This window comes from Homo sapiens, chromosome 6, assembly GCF_000001405.40.
Source record: "Homo sapiens chromosome 6, GRCh38.p14 Primary Assembly".
NCBI classification, from domain to species: Eukaryota; Metazoa; Chordata; class Mammalia; order Primates; family Hominidae; genus Homo; species Homo sapiens.
Genome location: NC_000006.12, coordinates 61,692,944 through 61,715,156, shown reverse-complemented (window position 1 = coordinate 61,715,156; position 22,213 = coordinate 61,692,944). Strand labels below are relative to the sequence as shown.

Below are 22,213 nucleotides of genomic sequence, written 5' to 3'. Positions count from 1 at the left end.
TTAAAAAAACAGCCTCCAGGTCTTGTTATTTTGCACTTGCACATTGGTAGTGAGAGAAGAGAGATGTTTTTATATTTGTTGTATAAATTTATGGGGTACAGTTGTAATTTGTTCTATGCATAGATTTGTTCTATGCATAGTTGTAATTTCTTCTATGCATAGATTGAAGTCAGGGCTTTTAGGGTAACCATCACCCACATATTGTACATTGGACCTATTAAGTAATTTCTCATCACCCACTTACCATCTGGTTCCCCCACTCTTCTGAGTCTCCATTGTCTGCCATTCCACACTCTACATCCATGGGTACATATTATTTAGCTCTACTTATAAGGGAGAAATGCAGTATTTGTCTTTCTGTGTTTAAGTTATTTCACTTAAGATAGTAGCCTCCAGTTCCATCCATGTTGTTGCAAAATACATGATTTCATTCTTTTTTATGGATGAGTAGTATTCCATTGTGTACATATACTGTGTTTTCTTTATGCAGTCATCACTGATTGACACTTAGGTTGATTACATATCTTTGCTATAGTGAATAGTGCTGTGATAAACATATGAGTGCAGGTATTTTTTATACGTATATATAAAATGATTTATTTTCCTTTGGGTAGTTACTCAGTAGTGGGACCACTGTATCAAATGGCAGTTCTATTTTTAGTTCTTTGAGAAATCTACATACTAGTTTCCATATAGGTTGTACTAATTTACATTTCCACCAGCAATTTATAAACATTTCCTTTTCTCCACATCCTTGCCAACATCTGCTATTTTTGACTTTTTAATAACAGCCATTTGGACTGATGTGAGATGGTATCTTATTGTGGTTTTAATTTGCATTTCTCTAATGATTGGTAATGTTGATGTTGGTCATTTTTATGTCTTCTTTTGAAAAAATGTCTATTTATGTGTTTGCTTACTTTTTAATGGGATTATTTGGGGGTTTTTTTGTTGTTGTTATGTTGAGTTGTTTAGATTCCTTGTAGATTCTGGATATTAGTCCTTTGTTAAATGAATAGTTTTAAAATATTTTCTCCCATTCTGCAGGTTGTCTGCTCACTCTATTAATTATTTATTTTGCTGTGCAGAAGCTTTCTAATTTAATGTAGTCCCGTTTGTCTATTTCTGTTTTTGTTACCTGTGCTTTTGTGGTCTTAGTCATGAATTATTTGCTTAGACCAAAGCGTAGAAGAGTTTTTCCTAAGTTTTTTTCTAGTGCTTTTATAGTTTCAGGTCTTACATTTAAGACTTTAATACATCTTGAGTTGGCTTTAGTACATGGTAAAAGATAGGGATCTAGTTTCATTCTTCTGTGTATGGCCATCCATTTTTTCTAACATCCTTTATTGAAGAAGGTGTGTTCTTTCCCCAGTCTATATTGTTGTCAGTTTTGCCAGTGATCAGATGGCTGTAAATATGTGGTTTTATATCTGGGTTCTACATTCTGCTTCATTGATCTATGTGTATATTGTATACAAGTCCCATGCTGTTTGCTTACTATATGCTTGAGATTCATATGGAATCAAAAAAAGAGCCTGAAAAGCCAAAGCAATCCTAAGGGAAAAAAAAAAAAAAGCTAAAGGTATCAGATCACCTGACTTCAAATTGTACTACAAGGATATAGATAAGGAAGATATTTCTCTTCTAACACTGCAGTCCACATGGAAAAAGATAGATCTTTGTGATCTTAAATCATAGAATTGGAAAACTAATAACAACACACTTTATATCTTTGGAGAACCTCAGAAAAGAAAAATCAAATTTATCTGGGAAAAATATAGGATAGAGTCAAAAGAAGATACAGATATTATTTATTTTTTATAATTAGAATTTCAAATTTCTTCAACATCTTTTGATATATTATTAAGTTCATGTTTATTAAGGGTTTGCTATTTTGCTAGGTGCTAGAAACAGAATGGTTAACAAATATGGTACATTAAAGTATAGGTTCACAATCCTCCAGTTGCAATGCTGTACACCAGATGTTTCATATTCAGAATTTTTTGTATTTTAGAAAGACAATACAACACATATTTTGTATATTGCATATCACTACTTGTGACATCTGGGCCAAAAATATATATTAATATTATTGTATTTAATATATGAAGAACTATACTAAGCAAGATATAAATCATTATAAATAGCTTTTTATCACTTTAGGTCAGAATTTTGTTGCTTAATTCTTTCAGACACCCTATTTAAGAAGAAACTTTTGGTTTTATAGCTTTTGGATTTGGAATTTGAGGATAAATAATTGTGGACTTGAGTTACATAATATTCAGTACTATTAAATTATAGGAGACATATGAAAGAAGCAAAAGAGAAGTATAAAAGGCTAGGTGGGGGGCACAACCATATCTAAAGGTAGAACGTTACTACTACTAATAATAATAGCTACAATACTAAGCATTTGCTATGTGCCAGATGCCTGTATTAAGTACTGTGTAAACATTATCTAATGAAGTAGATAATTTTATCCTCATGTTACAGATAAAGAAACTAGGATTCAAAATGTTTGCCATGTTCAGGACTTTATAGCTTAATAAGTAAAAGGTCCAAACTTTAAACTGGTTTCTGTCCAGTTCCAAAGATGGACTCTCTGTCCTAATATCATATTGCTTCCCAAATACTTCATTCTATTTTTTAAACACCTCAGCTTATTGGGAAACTCTAAAACTGAAACAACACCTACCTCCTTGTAATCTCCATTTGCATACATTGGTCTCTAATGTGTCATGTAAACCTACACATAAATGAATCTAGGTTGTTTTTGCATCCACATGTCAGCCTTGCTTAAAGAAGAAAATATCCCTCTGTCAATATCCAACCCAGAATGCGGTAGAGTATTCTTGGCTACAGTTCTTCACCCCTCCCTACTTTCATGACCTTTGCTGTGTGATTTTTCAGTACCTCTCAATAAAGTGGCAGAGTATGTTTTTCTGACTTTTTGCTGTAATGTATATTGCCTCAACTGATACAGTAAAGTCACCTCTAGGTAACCTAGGTCTTAGGAGGTTTATGTGTTTCCGCTTGTCTTCTTGCCATTGCCGTGAAAAGAGCTCCCCCATGTGCCTGATTTTCTCTTAGTTTTGGCTTCAGATTGAACACATGAGGAGCTCAGACCTCAGGGAGTGCCAAGCCCAGCTCTTTGCATAGCTAGAACAGAGTACAGGAAGCCCAGCCTAGATCAGCCAACTTCCAGCGAAACCAAAAGCACATGAGCTAAGTAATTTCTTATTGTTGTATGATGTTGATATTTTGTAGTTGTTTGTTATGCAGCATTACTATACCAGTAACAAACTGGTATCAAGAATAATTGCCCATAGACCTGATTTCCTTCAACTATTCTTGGTATATCATAATTCCCATTTCACCAAATATCTTAGATGTTTTCTTCTGAAACCATTCCAGTGGTCCTAGTGTTCATCTTAAAGTTGGGCTCAGTGATCTTGAGATATATCAGATGAGAGTTGACTGGCACAAAAAAATGGCACTATTACATCCTGTGTTTCTTTCTTCAAAAGTCCTTCAACATAATCTGAAGTTGTAGTTTTCTTAAGTGGCTATGTCATATTATTGTGTTTTATTAAACTTGTTACCAACTGAAAACTTAGGTTGTTTCTAAATTAACTATTGTCAAACCAGTTCTAACATTATCTTGAGTTTTCACAATTGATTTTTTTAACCTAAACCTAGAAATGCACATTTATCTCTGTGACATTTCACCTTGTTGTTTAAGCTTCTTATTGCTGGTTTTGAACTATCTTTTGAATATAAATTCTTAAAACAGGATACTAGTTATACTTCCTAACACATCTTATATTTATCATTTTTATTCAAGTACTATTCAGGAAAAATTTTAGGAAAAAAGAATACCAAGAATTAAGTTTAGTAGCAACCCTTAAATTGACATTGACTGGTAGTTAAAGTTCCATAAGAACAGTTGTAAACATAGCCACAAATCTATGTGTCTGTACTGTCAGTCAGCTTACAAATTATTCACATAGAAATTATTTAGTATTTTTAAATTACTCATTCATTTATTCAACAAATATTTATTGAATATCACTATTCTTGACTTATGTATGCAGAAACAAATAAGGTATTGCTCAGGCTTTGATTAATTCACAGTTACTATAGGTTTTTAAAAAGTATGATCTCGGGCTTCTGCATTAGGAACACTGTAAATGAAACTCCAGATTTCTGAGCCCCTGCTGAGTCCAGTTGCATCAAAATCTGAAGAATGGGGCTCAGAGGCCTGCATTTTTCGCACAACATCCTTATAATGCTTATGCATACTAGATGTTAAAAACCATTGTGATAAAGAATGAGATCAAGATTAAAAAAAAAAAAAAAAGAGCTCAGGTACAATGAGAGCTGATCTACCTGAAGGTATGAGCAGAGTCTTACACAAGACAAGTGAGAAAGGGTGAATCTTGCCTAGGAGGGTGGGTAAATACATAACACAAAGCTGACCATTGAGCTGAATCTCAGGAGGATGATGAATACCTTCCTGGATGAACAAGTAGAAGGAGTTCCATGTAGAAAAAGATTACCATAGTTAGGGACATAGAGTCATAAAAAAACTGGGGTCTTTAAGAGACACTCCACCATGCCTTGATACAGAGTATATTAAGAGAGAAGTGACAGGGAAGAGGCTGGGTAGAATTAAAACATAGAAAATGGACTTGTGCTCAATGCTAAGGAATAATCACTCACAGTCTGAGAAAAGAGGAAGACATGAAAATACATAATTAAAATTGAGTTCAAAGTATGCCGCAGTGATGGTAAACAAAGACAAACAGAATTCTGATTTCCTTTCTCTTTGCAGTAATTTGGCATTATTACTAATGTTTTGTAGTAAGCAGGCTTTATAATGCTTCTAATCACAAAACAGTAAAAACTTCACCTGACTTTCGGTACATGCCAAGAGTTTCTGGGTGAATGTGACATTTTTTTTTCTTACACAAAGAAAAACTGTCAAAATGAAATCATTGTTGTCAACTCACATATTCTTTCCCCAGACTCTGGTCATTTAAATTTCTAAAGTCTGATGCATGAAAATAACCTTTTTCTTAATAAGTAACAAGTGATTTTGGAACATCATGCAAACACAGGTGAGATTCCATTTGGGACTTGAATGAGGAAGAATATAAATCACTATTAACACACAGCTGTAGTGCAGCTTGCACCAATGAATTCAGTAGCAAAGTCAACTAGATTAAAGTATTGAAGTAACTAGAGATTATACTGATATTTACAGCACTGAAATCCTACTGACAACTCATGAATTGTGACAGCCAAAGAAACACGTGATATAGTTAAAATTATGTCCATTTCAAACTAGGGTTCAATAGCTTCTATATACTTGTACCAAAAGCATGTAACAGTTCATTTAATAACGTCATGTACCACTGAGCCTAATTAGTCAGTGGAAAGCATTATTTATAGAAAATTTTTGCTATGTTCTAATAATAATTCTACATAATAAAACAAAAGATTAGTGTTTTGTTATAAAATTGCTCACCGCTCATTCATGTAATAAAGGGTCAAAGTAAGCAAAAAATAAAAGCTAAACTGAAAAGAAGATATTGAAGAGTGTTTATAAAGGGAGATAATTTGCAGAATTGTATGCACATTGTTATATTCAAAAAGCAAAAGCATATATAAATATATTTCCTTCTTATTTGAGGTATGAAGTTGCCTCAAATGAGGCAAAATACCCATTTTTTATAAAAGGAATCATTGCAAAGCTGATCATAATTCTACACTAGATGCCTTATATAGATCATCTATCTTGATTCTTAATCTATGAGTAGAGCAAATATGTCACTGTCCTCATGAATAATCCGCCTATATTTCATCCTGTGAACATTAAATACCATCAACTAAAACTTAAGAGGGCATATATGGTTATTTCATGTTTCAGAATATTTCAAGAAGATGAAATCTCTCCAGTGCTGCAACCTTTATGCATACGAAAAAGAGAAGCTTTGCTTCTATATGTTTACTGAGTTGACAAATACCAATTATTAATAGTTATTGAGCACCTGATATGTACTAGACACTTAAAACAGCCCTATCACAGGTTATCTCATTGATACTTCAAGTAGACATCACTATTGCCCATATTAAAGATCAGGAAACTGGGAGTTGGTGAGATTAAATGATTTGTCCAAAATGACACACAGCAATTCTCAATTTTAATTTCAAATACTGTTTTTGGATTCTGTATATAATTTTTAGAAAAAGTACTGATTGTATTCCAAGTGGAACCCAGAATGGAGACTTCGCTATTCTCCATCATGAGACTATGGTCTTTTCTTGTCTCACAATAAGTTGGCTGTGAGTGGGAGATTTACATCTTTGACTTTCTCAAAACAAACCAGTCAGAAAAACAACTGCAGGAAGTTATACTGTTTACTATCTATCTATCAATATACCTATATATCTATTTATGTTTAATGTATTTAGTGTACTCGTTAATTTTGGAAGACAAAAAGTTATGTTACATTTATACACAAACATGACTGCCCTGTAGCACAAGGCTTTCCATGTAACATTATTCATTGAATGCATTGAATAAGTAAATAATACAGTAATAAAATTTCAAAAATATTTAAAAATTATTTAATCTTAATGGAATTTCAAAGATACTTTAGAAATATACTAATAAAACCCATGATCTTTGCTTTGTTAGTCTGTGAGAGCCAGTGATATTTGAGCACAGAGAGATGTATTTGCATTTGGATTGAAACATATACATGCAAAAAGACAATATATTTTATTTAATATTTTTTAGTACACAAAATGATCAATTTTTCAATTTTTGAGTAAAAATTGTTGAGATATTTCTGCTTCTTTGAATATATTTTAATATTCCTATACTTAAAATGTGTAAAATAAAAGTTATTTAGGGAGTTTAAAGGGTTGATGTGGTTTATTTTCATAACAATGTGAATGTAAGGAAACTGAATTCTCAGCAAAGCAAATAATCACACATGTGAGCACTAATTTCTAATATCAGAGAGATTAACTTGTATGTTTTAATTATCTTGAAGTCCTCAGATTAAAGGCCAATTTCTAAATGGAAAAAATCTTGAATGAAAAATTAACTGTCTAAAATATGTGCACCAAATGCTGGCTAAATAAGCTATATATTTTTTATATTTAAATAGCTTGTCCATTCCAATGATATTGGCACCTGTGATTTTATTATAAAAAGAGATTGTTTAAGAATTTTTAACTCTATAGGAATTAACTCATAATAGCAGTTACGTATAGAATATATTATCTTTCCCATGGTTTTCCATTATGACTGGATGTATCATACTTGTTTGTTATACCTATCTATTTTAATGACTCAGAGCATTTCATTTCTCATCCCTTGAAATTAACAGCAGCCGATAAATAGTATATAACTTCACTTCTATCTACTTACAGTATTAGTATTAATACTAGCTTGTAGTATTGATAGTGTTAATCATGACCGGATTCGGAGACTACTACTCATTTATTTAATTTAGTTATCAAAATTCAAGCTTGCTTGAATGTGGTTACTTTCAAATAAACTAATGTTTTCCCAAATCACTGTAATTTTGCATTTAACTAAAATAATTGGCTTTTAGCATTTGAATGGAAAATGTATATTTTTAACCTTAACAGAATTAAACCCAATATTTTTAAACAGTCATGCCACTTTGATGCTAATGTTACAACTTCTATTTTTATATTGGAAATTTCTTTATAGAACTTACAGAGTTTGTGGTCAATGAAGGCTTAGGAATGGACCTGATGGCAAAGATGAAGAAGATAGACAGCCAAGTGAGTTCATGATACAACTTTGGGAAAGACTGCACTTAGGGGTGGACATGGAGTAGAATCCTTGATCCCCCACCTCATCTGCAACTCTCTCTTGCTTCCTCTGCCCTGACACTCTGGCTCTTGCCATTCCTTGACTATCCTAAGTACACCCCTCCCTCAATGCCTTTATGTTTTCTATTCTTTTTTCCTAGAATGCTCTTCCTCTGAATTTCCAAAGATTACTCCTTTAACTCCTTCAGGTCTTTTTTCAGTGTAATGTCATCTGTAAAGACTTTCCCAACCACTTTAACTATAATTTTACCTTTATCCCAAAACTTAATGTTCCCCCTTCCAGATTTAGTCTTTTCTCCTTAGCACTTATAACTGTTTTGTTTTTGTTTTTGTTTTTGTTTTTGTTTTTTACTTGTATAGTATTTTACTTGTGAACTCCATGAGGGCAAATAATCTTTGCCTATTTTGTTCACTGTGTATTTCCTAACACTTTGAATAATGTCTGGCACATAATAGGTTATAAATAAATTTTGTCACATAAACTGAGATAAAGTAGGTTGAAAACATTCACAATATTATTCTGTTCATGCATACCTTGCAACATTTATATATTTTATTCCAACATATCTAAGTGGTATGTTAATATATCTTTTCCACTTCGTATTCCCAGAATAGTACTGGTACTCTAAATACTTATTGAATTATGTAATGATTTTTATGTGATCACAATTGTCTAGGTAAATAGAAGGCAAAGGCTTTGGTCCTCAATCCCATGAGAAGTAGTAAAAGAGAATGATCTCAAATTTCCATACCTTAAACCCAAGCCTCATTACCTGGCATAGTTTCCAGTCTTCTTATCTAAATCTCTCAGCCCATGTCTTATCCTCTCTGAGTAGCATCTTTTCCTTATCACTTAGGAGCTGTCTAATAGCCAAGTCTACTTTTCTAGATACAAACTTCTCAAAACCTTTAGGTTCTCCCACTCATTTCTTAAATATAGTCAGACAGTTGACTCTTATTGAAGTTGTGGAAGAGTCAAGGAAAGTGGTAAAGGAAATTATGTAGCTTGTTCCAGATAGAACTGAATGCTAAGGTGATTGATCAGTGGCATAAGATCGCATGAGGGTCCCGAAGTAGAAAGCGTAGTGAAAGGGAGAGTACACAGGGAGGGCTGGGTGGTGATCAATGGTGATGCAATGAGTTGTTGGATGAGGATTGCAGGTTAGGAGGTAGCTGTTTAGAGTTGGAATGAATATAAAGCACAGAAGTTCCAATACTTCAGTTTATTCATTTGGCCAATATTCCATTTACTATGTGTCAGGCACTGGGTTGCCCCCTGGGAATACAATGATGATGCAAATAGCCCTGACCTCATGAAAATCACATTTTAGTAGGGAAGACAGATAAGCAAATAATAGCACATATAAAGATGGATTTTCAACAATACCATGTTATTTATAGGAGGTGTATAGCATTGTAGGCATTGTAGGGTTATTGGGTATCTGAGAAAGCTTCCCAGAGGAGGAAAAAATTGAAAGGGATTGAGAGGGTGCTGAGAAGCATGTGTGCTTGGGGCAGGACCTTGTTCTTGATGGTAGCTGAGATTTTTCTGAGAAGGAAGAGCAGGACAGTTAAATGTAGAGAGGAGCTCACAGCTCATCTAATATTCCTAATCTCAATCAGCTCAAGATCATACTGTAAATAGTTACCCATTTTTTAAGTCTGGTATTATGCAAATACAAATGAGAGTGACTATTTTGGATGCATATTATGGACTGGATGAATTGCAAAGCTGGATTAGTTTAGGACAAGTAACTTAATTAGCTAAAAATAAATTTTCTTTTCTGGTCTTGGGCTAATACTATCATTCAAAAATTGTGGCAATTAAATAAGAAAGGTTATGTAAACCTCTTAGCAGTGTTTGGTGTGTACCAAGTGCCAGAGAAGCATTAAATATATATTTTTTATGGTTATTTTTGTTTCTTGGAGGGGAGAAGAAGTAGAAGAATGTTAAAGATACAGATTACTTAATTTGTTGTTTAAGGCCCCCTCTTATTTTAAAATTCAGAAATCAGTTGGTAGAGGGGTAGGGAGTCGGAAAGAGTAAAATCAATTAGGAATTAGCATATAATGGATATAGGTTCTCTTTCACTGCAGATGTTATTAAAATTTTGGCAAAAAGAGAATTAAGCAAATCCTGCTTCTTAATAATCTATGCATTTGAGTTTGGGCCTCCAAAATATCAGATTTTACAAACCTTTCAAAATGCTTTTGAGTTGATGAGTGAAGTTAGCCCAGAATTATCCTGCAAAGTTGTATAAAAACTACATTTAGCAGTTTTAATTATGGATCCTAAATGTAGCATCTAATGACCTGAGATATTATAAATTGTGTTTACAAATCATTTATCTTAATATGTCAATTTTCTCACGTTTTAATTTAACAAAAAAGCCCAAGTTCATGGATATAAAGGAAATATAGGTGTAAAAACACAAAGCAGAGATCAATTGTGAAAATTATTCATACTACAATGATTTGCTTATACATTTATTTACACAATAAATATTTGTAGAGCACTACTATGTGTTGAATAATGTGCCAGGTGTTGATGATAAGGCATCAAAAAGGAAAGACACTGCCCGCAGAGTGACCTGTTTAAGCCAAAATATAATCATGCTTCCCTCTTAAATCCTTCATTGTCTTCAATGGCTCCTAATATAAAATCCAAACTGCTTACCATGTTAAGACAAGGTCCTTCAAGATTTGGTCCCTGTATATGTCTCAAGATTGAATATTGAGCCCCTCTCTCCCTAATACTGATACGCGGTCACTCCAGCAAAGTAGCTGCTAATGGCACACATTTTCTTGCCTCTGGGACTTGGTTGGTGCTGACCCCCTACCATAAGGCTTCTTCATTCCATCTTACCCAGGAAATTCCTACTTATTTTTAGGGTTTCCATATACGATGAAAAACAACAACAACAAAAAGAATGAATTAATGACTCCTTAACACTTGTTTAATGGTTTTTCTATTAGACTGTAATTTCCGTGAAGCCTTTTTCAGCCCCATTTATTTGTTGTTTAGTGTTTTAAAAAACAGACTGAATGTATGTATATGTAGCTACTAGGCATTTGTTTTTGTTTTATGGTTGTTATATTATTACTTTGTATAGTTAGGGATAATGAAAATGAAAGAATGTGTTGGGATAGGTGAAGGTGGGAAAGACACATGCAGCTAGTTTCTATGGGAAGGTAAGACTTTGTCTAGAAGGAATAGACAAATGAAAATCATCTTTAAAACCTACCTGCAAATAGGTTTTCCAACATAAGCATTCCATAGGTATAGGTTTCCCACCATAGGCATAAAGTTGAACTGTTGGTTAACTTCACCTTCAGCACTGGGAATCATAGATGTTCTCCTCCAAGGGAAGATTCAGGATAACCATCAGAATTAGCAGATAATACAACAGTACTGAGATGTGGATGGAAGTTGTGGAGTCTTGAGCTATTTGGTGAAAGGTTTCCCATTCCTTCAATCTATCAGTGTTTAGTGAATACCATGAATGACATTAAGAGGGGGTTCTGGTTGGTGGTGAGAGTTGATATATCTACATGTGTGTTATACTCATTCATCTACACAGTAGTTTTAATGTTTTTTAAATAGCACTTTCTTGGAGCTTTAGGAAGCTTAATAGAATAATTTGATAGACACATAAGTGGATATAAAAATAAAGGCACTATCAATTTGCAATTTGAGGATGGGGACCTGGCTGAAAATTTATCTTTGCTTGACTAATATCTCTATCAATACAATATAAATGCACAGTATAATAAGGTTTCAGTGTAAATGCTGATGAGAACAAAATTTAAGAATACCCCCTTAAATGCTAAAAATAGTTAGATATATATCCCTCACATATAATTTTCATATTGTTATTTCATAATATTTTTAACATAAGTTAATTGGCTTGATTATAGTAACCATTTCACCATGTATATCAAAAGCTCGTGTTTAAACCATAAATATATGCAATAAAATAATAAAATGAATTTTTAAAATATGTGACATTGACTGGCAAAAGTTGGCTGTATACTTTTCATTATTTCAGAAAGCTGCTATTTTTATTACATTTGTTTCATTTATCATGTTCTTTAATCATGTTGAAATAGGAATAAATGTAGACAAATGGATTTTATATAAATACAACCTGGTTATTTAATTTTTAATTCACTATTATTCTATTTTATATTCTAGAAATATAGTGATTAAGGTTTCTAAACACATTGTTACAATTACAGAGATTTTAATTAAAATTATGGCAATTATCAGTGATTTGGAACTTAATTACTTCGGTGGTTATAGCAGGTATAATTTTTCTAGGAAGTGGCACATACTTAAAATCAAGATATATAATGTTAGCTGCATTGACTCAAAATATATCTAATTATTAGTAAAATTCTACACACGATTTTGGCTTTTTGACTTCTAGACCTTAGACACTAAAAATAATGAAATAGATTAATACGTAAATAAGTGGAGTGAAGGAGGCAGGAGCCAATAGCAGATTAATATATTACTTTTTATTTGAATTTTATTTTTATCAGAAAAGACATGAGTTGTTTTTGTTTTACTGTTCCAATTGCTGTCAATATAAGTGGACATCCCGCTAAAGCATACACAAAGTTCTATAAACAAATTTCCTTTAAAATGTTCTAAGATTATTCATGTTCAAATACAATGATCTCTAGTTTCAGTCTTTAAAATTAAAACATTTATTCATTCATTCGACAAATGTTACTGAATGTCTGTTAGTCTTCAGGGGATTGTATTAATTGCCAACTATATTATTTGGGATATGGACTAAGCTTCCATAATAAGGATGTCTCACAATTCAGTGGCTCAAACAAGAGAAAAGTTTATCTCTCCTACATAATAGGCTAGGGCAGGTAGGTGGGCTCTGCTCCATGGCATCATTCACTGATCCAGGCTAGTGAGAAGCCATCATTAACATGAGTCCAAAGTTACTCTAGCCATTGCCATTTCCAGCCAGTTACATGAAAACTGAAAGGAAATAGAGGATAAACAAGTCGTAAAAAATTAGTAACATCACTCTGCACATAGACACTCAAAGGTAAAGGAGACTAGAAAATGTAGTCTTGAGCTGATCAGTATCTCTTATGGAATAAGGGACAGATTGGTTGTAGAGGGGAACAACGAGAAGTCTTCTATAGCCCAATGCTCTAGTCATCCACATGTGAGTGATTATCTTTCTTTCTGTTAAAAAAAAAATACCTACTTTCTTCCCAACAAAGAAAATCTAAGTTTCATTCCAATTACTGCAACCAGTCCAAAATCCAGGACCTCTAGAAAATATGCACATCTCCACATTAAGTATTGGTGTAGTTCTTTACAATTTGGCAACCTGAAAAATGTTAGATTATCTTTCTTATTCTCAACCTTCTACCCCATACAAAACACACAATGTAAAATGGTCAAAGGGGAACAGAATAACTGCAATAGAAACTATCATTAGAAAAACAGAAGAAAACACATAAGACTCAGTGGGCAATAACAGTTATAAAATCCTGCCAAGAGGTAAAGGCACCTAGAAACAGCAGTGAAATGTTTTGTTTTGTTTTGTTTTGTTTTGTCTTTTTAATAAGCGCATCTGGCAACCTCAGTTCTCTTTTCTGGGAGTTAAGCCAGATACCCTGGAAGGGTCTTCTTTATCCCAGTGGATAAATGGACTTATCCATGGCCGTATCTTAATCCAGTAAAGTAGAGTATGCCCTCCTTGGGAACTTTACAATTTTTGCAGCATGCTTTCTTCTGGTGTATGTTTGGAAGCCTAAGGATTGTTCTAGGGGTCATATATGGTAGCAAAGTCCAATGGAAAGATGTGAGGACATCTTTGAGCACTGTATATTATCTCTTGCGATTGAAATAGAGAAGTAACTAGCTTCACTGTATCCTGTTAAGCCTCAAATTTTTGAACCTTCTATCAATTTAAATTATAGAACTAACACAGAAATCAGAAAAAGCCACTCTTAGTAAAGTTCTGTTCACTTTTGTTTCATCTTGTAAAATGACCATTCTTATTTGAGCTCTTATAATTTGTAAACCTTTCTAAAAAGTAGCAAGGATCACCAATAGTTGGGCTTTGTTCAACATTTTTCTCGAGCAAAGTATATCCAGGCCCATAGCCTGCTTTCCAAGTTGTCACTGGCAATGGCATAACAAGGGCCATCAGTTTTTCACCCTAAAGTATTTTTTTCTTTGCACCCACCACCCTCCCACTAAGATAATGCCCTATAGTTTGGGATATAAATGGTAATTCCACATTTCTACATAGTTATTCCTGTATTCATCTACTCTGTTGTAACAGAGGCTCAAAATTCAGTGACTCAAATAATATTTTTAAAATGTATTTTTCTCTTAACAATCCCCGAGGCAAGCAGTAGTGTAAAATAAGTCTGCTCCATGTGATCTTTTAGAGGCAGAGGTACCTCCCGTGTTGCAACTGATGACTTCTTAAGGCATTGTCTTTGTTTGCATTGCAGATACTAGATCATCACTTTGAATGCCTTCTACCAACTGAGAAGGTAAATGTGCACAAGCCCAGGATGAGGAGATTATTCTTAAACGGGAAAGGATCTTAATTTACACTCCCATCTCTGCACACATCCCATGTGTCCTAACTTAGTCACGAGGGCACATCTAGCTGAAAGGGTGGCACATCTAGCTGAAAGGGTGTATTCACTATTAGTGCAGCCATTTGTCCAAGTAAACATTTATCTATGGAAGAAATGAGAAGTTATATTTTAATAATCTAAGGTATAGACTGTGGCAGAGTCCATTTTGATTATTATACATCATTTTCCATTATCTTCCATTATTTTACAAATATCTAGTATGCTCTGTTCTCCCTTGTTTAGAGTTCTGAAAGTTAAAATTCCCTCTTGCTGTGTATGTATCACTTATGATAGACAATAACTGTGCTTCTTTATCATATTCTCTCCCACTACTGTTCTTTTTCTGTCTCTTATCTTAAGCAATTAAAATAAAAAGTGAGAAACATATTAATACCACTTGATGCTGTTATAGTGCTACATAGCACACTTTGGGGAACATGATCGGGGCTTACTCATAGAAAATGTATTGATGATGACAAGGGAAGGAGAAGCTTCCCTTAATGCCAGCATTTTCCTCTATGCTGCTATAAGTGGGACTGCTGCTTGTTAAATTATTTTCTCATGAAGTCCACCTCTTAATCATTTAAGGAATCAATTTAACAACTCTCAGGAATTTGCTACCCCTATATGAGGACTCTGAGTTGGGTTGCATCATTTTTATCATGTCAAGTATGTGAAAGAAGAGATACACATCCAGATTCCAGCCAATGCCATTAGCCTTCTACAATCTCAAGTCATTCGAAGGATGAAGAGAACACATTACCATAATTTTTTAGACAGTTTGAATGTAAACATGTTGGGCAGTGAGGGCTGAGCTAGGCAATCATTTTTTCGGCTTCTTTACACTTATGTTGAAGTTTATGCATTATAAATTGCCTCCAAGGAAGATAAGGATGACCAAAGTTCTCTCTGCCCCTCTTTTTATCTCTGATATATAGACTTTTCTTTTCTTTTTCTGCTTCTCTTGCTTTACTATCAATAAAATCAAAAGTACTTAAAATAATGAGACCTATGGAATTGCTTTGTGGGATAATAATAACCACATTCAGAGAACATCTAATTTTAGGCCCTTCTGTCGTTCCTTCCATCCTAACCCTTTGGCATCTATCCCCTACCCTCAGCCCTTATATGATTTGGTTTTTGATATTCAGCCATTGTCTTGATACACTTTTATATAGTTAAAATGAATTACTGACCTTGAGGTAACTTATAAATTAAGAATTATATAGGGGGGCAATGCTTGACATCTAACTTTAAACCAAGAAGTGTATTTGAAGGAAAATATAATGTATCATCAATATTTATAGATCCCTCAGTAAGATTAAAAATACATGAATTAGCCCAATAATAATTAAATTAAATTAAATTTCTCTTTTGCATGTTATTTTTTTAAATTGTGACGTGGTTTTATTAGGCTACTCAATTAAATGGTGTCTGGGCTTCCTATGAGTAATTTATTCTATTGTCCTATAAATATTCATTGAGCAGCTCTTATGTGCCAAACTTTGTTCTAGAAAATCTGCTTGGAACAACGACAGCAAATGAATAAATGAAATAAATGAGAGACCAATTTTCTATAACAAGAAGTTTATATTCTAGAAGAGGGGAACAGCCAATAAATAAATAAGCAAATGGGTGTTTGTGTGTTTGTTTATATAATATGTATGGTGATGATCAATGAATGCTAAGGTGAGCAAAGCAAGGTAGGTGGTCCCTGGTCTAAATAGACTGATCAGGGAAATCTCTCATAAGTGACATTTGAGTGAGCTCTGAAAGAATGGGAAAAGGGACAATTGGACATTTAGAGAAAGCCTGTTTCAGGTAGGAGAAACAGCAAATGAAAAAGCCCTGAGGCAGTAATGTGTTTGTAATGTTCAGAGAACATCTAGGAGGCCATGCCCCCTGAGTAGGGTGAGTGAGCAAGGAGAAAGTGTTAGAGCATGAGGTCTGAGAAATACAAGGGGGGGACAAATGGTGTAAGCAAAATAAGAATTTTTTATTTTTCTCCTAAAGACTATGGGGAAGCTATTTGTGAATTTTGAGTAGGGAGCTAATATGATCTAACTTACTTCTATAAGAATGACTTTGACTGCTACATCGATAATAGAAACAGAGCAATCAGGGCCTAGAAACCACTTAGAAGGATAGCATACTCATTTAAATGAGAGATAGTAATAACTTTAACTCAGTGATAGCTGTGGATATGTTTAGACGTGTTCAGATTCTGGATATATTTTGCAATTCGAAGTGAATTTGCTATTAGATAGAACATTAGGACCAGATGAGACTGCCTAGGGAGTAAGTATGAATAGAAAAGAGAAACATTCAACTGAGCCCTAGTGGTCTCCAGGAATAAGTGATTGGAAAAATGAGAAGGTAACCATAGGGAAAAATGAAGAAATGAAGTGCACTTGAAGACCCATGAAAGAGGAGATATCTGAAGCAAGTGAAATGTTTGCAGAATCATGAAATAATCAACTGTGTTAAATGGTGCTAAAGTAAAATGAACACTAAGTCTTGACCATTGAATGTGAAAATGTTAAGATCTTGTCAAGAGCTGTTTCAGTGGAGCAGTGGAACGACAGCCTGATTGTCTTCAAATGCCTATGGAGAAGAGTCAGTGAAAAGAGTGAGTAAAGTCACTTCTTTTCAAGAAATGGGATAGTTGCTAGAAGGAATTATGTGGATGAGGCAGAGCTTTTTACGGATAAGAAACACGTAAGACTTTGGAGTGCTAATAGGCATTATGCCTTAAAGGGGGAAGTGGATGCAGCAGGAAACAGTGAGGACAATTGTAAAGGGGTAGCAGAGTGAGTCAGAGAGAGAGTTTCCTTTGAGTAAGAAATGGAGGAAGAACACCTTTGACAGTTATTGAAATATGGAAGCATCTAGCAAAATATCGAGTGAAACAAAATAGCTTATATATTTGGGGAGTGCACAGACATGATGTAAAAGGGATAAAGGGGATTATAAATACAGTTTAGTGTTTCAAAGTGAAAAAATGATGCATATTTCTTAAGATAACAGCATTAAAAGCTATACATGATTGACCAGATTGTCATCTTAGAGAGCACTTTTTCTTGGAAATAGGCCTTTTATAACTCTCTTCTTGACAGATTTTGAAGTGTTATACTTGTGTTTTAGGGGAAATTTGATTTATCAAATTGGTGGATAGAGAGAAAGAAATACTGAGATGGCATTAAAAAAAATCATAGCACTCCTTGTCAATAACCTGTGTTTTTCTTACTGAAGATTTATTTAGGATTGTGTTTTATGCCTTGAAGTTCCTGGAATATTACCTCAGCACACATTTTGCCTTCAAATTCCATATGAGTTTCTGGGTTGAATTTCCTGGTTATAGTAACATTGATTGCTATCTAAATTTGTTGCAGTGTGCCTGAATACTATGACTACGGTCATGGAGTAAGTGAGGATGCCTATGACAGCTACGGTAAGACCTTTTCTTTACTAAAACTGTGAAATCGGAACATCCATCAGTCACCGACAATTCAAACATTATTTCCATCTTTCTCCCCCTAGTTTTTCCAGAAGTCTAGACTAAATTGATTCATGTAATTCCAGGGTGAGATTTGACTTACACAGCTAGTACCAGAAAATTAGACAGATCAATTTTGATCAAAATTTTAAAAGCAATTAATCACAATCATAAATCATTTTCAACAGCAACAGTGATCATTCTGAATAGCGTCTTGTATGTTTAACTGTGTTCATTGTCTGACTCATTGATTTGGCAACAATATTGTGTCTTTTCTGCTGTCAAAAGATCATCAGAGTAACATACATTTAAAATATTTACAAACTTTAAGGGCAGAAATTGTTACTATAAAATAACTCTCAAGTTATTTTTCTAGCATGCATAGCCAAATAATGCTTGGCTCAAAAAAATTGATAGTCAATAAGGATGTCAGTCTATAAAATCAATTTATTTAAAAAATATATTCCTTAATTAAAATGCCACTTAAAATTAATCATAATTATACTCAGTTAAGATCTATTGAATTTCTATGATATATCAATACAGTACATCATGTTTGAGACATAGTTTGCGATTCTTTAAAATACATATGTGGCCGGGCGTGGTGGCTCACCCCTGTAATCCTGGCACTTTGGGAGGCTGAGGCGGGCGGATCACGAGATCAGGAGAGTGAGACCATCTTGGCCAACATGGTGAAACCCCGTCTCTACCAAAAATACAAAACAAATTAGCTGGGCATTGTGGCGCATGCCTGTAATCTCAGCTACTCGGGAGGCTGAGGCAAGAGAATAGCTTGAACCAGGGAGTTGGAGGTTGCAGTGAGCCGAGATCGTGCCACCGCACTCCAGCCTGGCAACAGAGCGAGACTCAGTCTCAAAAATAAATAAATAAATAAATAAATAAATAAATAAAATACATATATGGCATCACTAGCTGACCACCTTGAAAAATGTTACTAATTTAAATATTTATAGTCTTGAATTTTTATTAAAATAATACCAAGGCTGCTTGGCATTGGTGCATGACTGTAGTCCTAGCTACTCCAGAGGCTGAGACAGGAGGATTGCCTCAGCCCAAAAGTTTGAAGCCATAATTGTGCAATGATCATGCCTGCGAATAGCCACTGCACTCCAGCCTAGGCAACATAGTGAGACCCGGTCTCTAACAAAAATAAATAAATTAAATAATACCATGTTCACTTTATTCCTCTCTGTGGGGAAGAGAAAAGGAAACAATGGTTATTGCTGTGTTTGGGGCTTCATATGATGCTGCATCAGGCTGGCGAAGGGCACGTCCTGATGCTGAGAGGAAAGGAAGAAGAGTATCTTCCTTAAAACCAGTCATAAACTGACTAACACAAGGCCAAGCCCAGAAATAGGAGGAGAAAAATAAGCCACCACCACAATTATTGCTAACCATGGGCTGATTAGTTACAGATATTTTGTATTTATTTCTTTAAAGTAAATTGAAATATTAAGTATTTTTATCTCCATTTTTATGAGGAAACTGAACAACAAAGGTGAAGTCAATGTGAGAGTATGGCTATGAAGCTCAACTTCTGTTCTTATATTCTCATCGGTGGTTGAAATACTATTAATTGCTGCTACCACACATGGAGTACCTATTATGGCTCTGTACTAAGCATTTTATAATAAGGATTAGCAATTGCAGAAGTAATCCTTATAGAAATTATACATCTATCTATTTGTTTACTCTAACCTCCATTAGAATCCTCTAGAGAAGGATGGGAAACAGATAAGACTTTGGGATGCACACTTATATTGTCATCTGCATTTTTCAGGTGAGAAACTAAGACTGAGAGCATTAAGTACCTTGCCTCAGTTCAACAATTTGCCAGTAACAGAACAAGAATGTGAATTCAAGTGTGTCTGATTATTTGGGGGTTTGTTTGTTTGTTTGTTTGTTTTGTCAGGAGGTGGGAGCAGGGTTCAGTAGACTTGGTAAAAAGAACAGGATGTGGTACTTTAAACCTGAGTTTGTTTAAAGGAAAGGCGTTCAGCTTCCTTCCTAAATCCTAAATCGTCCTTCCTAAATTAGGATTTCTCAAAATGCTATCACTTGCTATTTCACTATTTTAAGGGGAAGGAGATCTTTTATACTATTTTTCAGGAAAAAAAGTAAATAATTAATCCAAAATGAGCACCAGGCTTACTCTCTCCCAAATCTAAGTTTCTCTAGCACTAATCAAATTAACCTAATATTTTGCTGTTATAGGAGACAGAACTATTTTCCAAAACAAATTAACATAATTTCAGAAATTATTTCACAGAAATACAAGTGATGAACAAGTCTGCACAGTTCTGGCTCAGTTGATAAGCTGCCATAGGAAGTGCAGCTATAATTTTGTTCCTTATATAATTTCCACTCATTGGAAGGAAGGGGTCAAAGGCATTAGATGGTATTTAATAAAAACACTAGCATCCAAATCCCAGGCTGTCTCCAAAGCCACACCAGGGGCCAGCCAGGCTGAGGTGTAAGATTGCCTAGCATTTTAGAGCATCCACACCTGCCCCTGCAGCACTCTTTGAGTTCAACACAAAAATAAATATATTTCTATTGTTCCAAGCACATTCTTAATCATATAGGAATGAGGCCGCAAGCCTTGTACAATTGGTTACACAGGATGATCAATGAATAAGACACAAACTGGGCCTTTCTTTAATTCATTGAAAATTTGCATATAGGTATCACTAGTCTCTGAGAACATGATGATGTACAGGGTGGACATTGTCCCTCCTTGGTTTCTGCTATTTGGTGTTGAGAAACTTACAACTACATATAAAAGTTTGCACCAGATTTTAAACCATTTTAAGTAATAATTTTATACACGTTTAGAGAACATTACTCATTTAACAAGTATTTACTTAATGGCTAACACATGTAAGCCATTGATCTCAATCTTAGAGATGTTGTAGTGAACAATCTCTTGAAGCTTATGTTCTGATGAGAAGGCATATTATTATTTGTAAGTAGTCATTTTTTGAAAAATCAAACTTTTACTTGCAAAATACAATCATTTTTTACACTTGCTACATCAATTTGAGGAAAATCATGCTCATGAGCTTCACAGAATTACATGCACTGAGATCAAAGGAAAGGATAAATTTGATGATATCTGGCAGGATCACTGGTGATAAGAGATGAGATTTCTATTTCGGAATTATTTACATTTTGAAATGTCAATGCCACGTAATGCTATTGGAAAAAGTGTTTAAATACAACTCTTGCTTCTCAAGCCTTTTAATGGAGATGCAAGGGTTATGGTCTGGAGGGCCAGGGCTCACCTCTATAATCCCGAGTCTTATATTGTACTTTCTTTGTAGTCTGGTTCTCCTGCTGTTGCAAAGTCTAGAGAGAAGTAATGCATTTTACTTTAGGAGAACTAACTGCTCATAAGCACTAAATTTCATTCTGGGCCAAATTACCACTTACCAACAAGAAATTTTCTGCACATAGAAAGTAGCCAATAAATTCTTCATAATAAAGTAATAAGGAAAATGTAGAAAGGGATTTTACTGTCTGAACAGAATAAGGAAGATATTAATTAGGCAGCAATTTTTACCTAATAACTTGTATTTACCTATTTTACTAACTAAATTTCATTCCTCTTTTTGCACAGCCAAAAACTAAAGTACTTGCTCTAGATTCATATGGTCATGAGATTTGAATTTTGAGAATCTTCTTGCTCTCATATCCTATGCAGGCAATAGAGCAAGGACAAAGTAAGAGGACAAAGAATAGTAAGAGCTCAGCACCATAACCTTGCAGCCCAATTAAATTAATATGCATTATGTGCACTCAGATTGTGGTATTAGATATCATGTAGTAGGATATTAGGTATTAGGTAGTTGGTGATAAGTTGCTTATAATAAAATATCCAAATAGGCAGATGATAAAATGTAAATACAGATGATGAGCAGTGATTTGAGGACCCACACAAGTCAAATATCAATTGATTATTTTTATTAATTGTCCATACTTTACATATTAACTATTATCTATTTATAATTTATCTTTAGTCAATGGTACACAATATTTTAAATCAATAATAGTTATTCCAAAATATAAATCTCATATCTCCAGTTATTCATTCACTTTCATGCTGAATCAGTAACTCCTCTGTGTTACATTGTGGTCGTATCGTAGACTGATACTAAATTCCAATGGAATGTCTGTATTTTTACA

At 34.1% G+C, this 22,213-nt stretch overlaps 1 protein-coding gene across 7 annotated transcripts in view; it reads left to right on the top strand.

Moving 5' to 3' along the window:
• KHDRBS2 (KH RNA binding domain containing, signal transduction associated 2) overlaps positions 1–22,213 on the top strand; it is a 743,556-nt gene that overhangs the window by 571,069 nt on the left and 150,274 nt on the right. For 5 of the 7 annotated variants that reach the window (NR_146870.2, NR_146873.3, NR_146874.3 and 2 more), the window contains one exon: positions 17,904–17,962. Coding sequence is in view for 2 of the 7 variants with exons in the window: in NM_152688.4 (NP_689901.2) it covers positions 17,904–17,962 (59 nt within the window). In the remaining 5 variants the exon portion in view is untranslated. Of the gene's footprint in view, positions 1–7,753; positions 7,828–17,903; positions 17,963–22,213 lie in introns of all 7 variants that reach the window. The other 2 variants (NR_146871.3, NR_146872.2) reach the window with 1 other exon arrangement.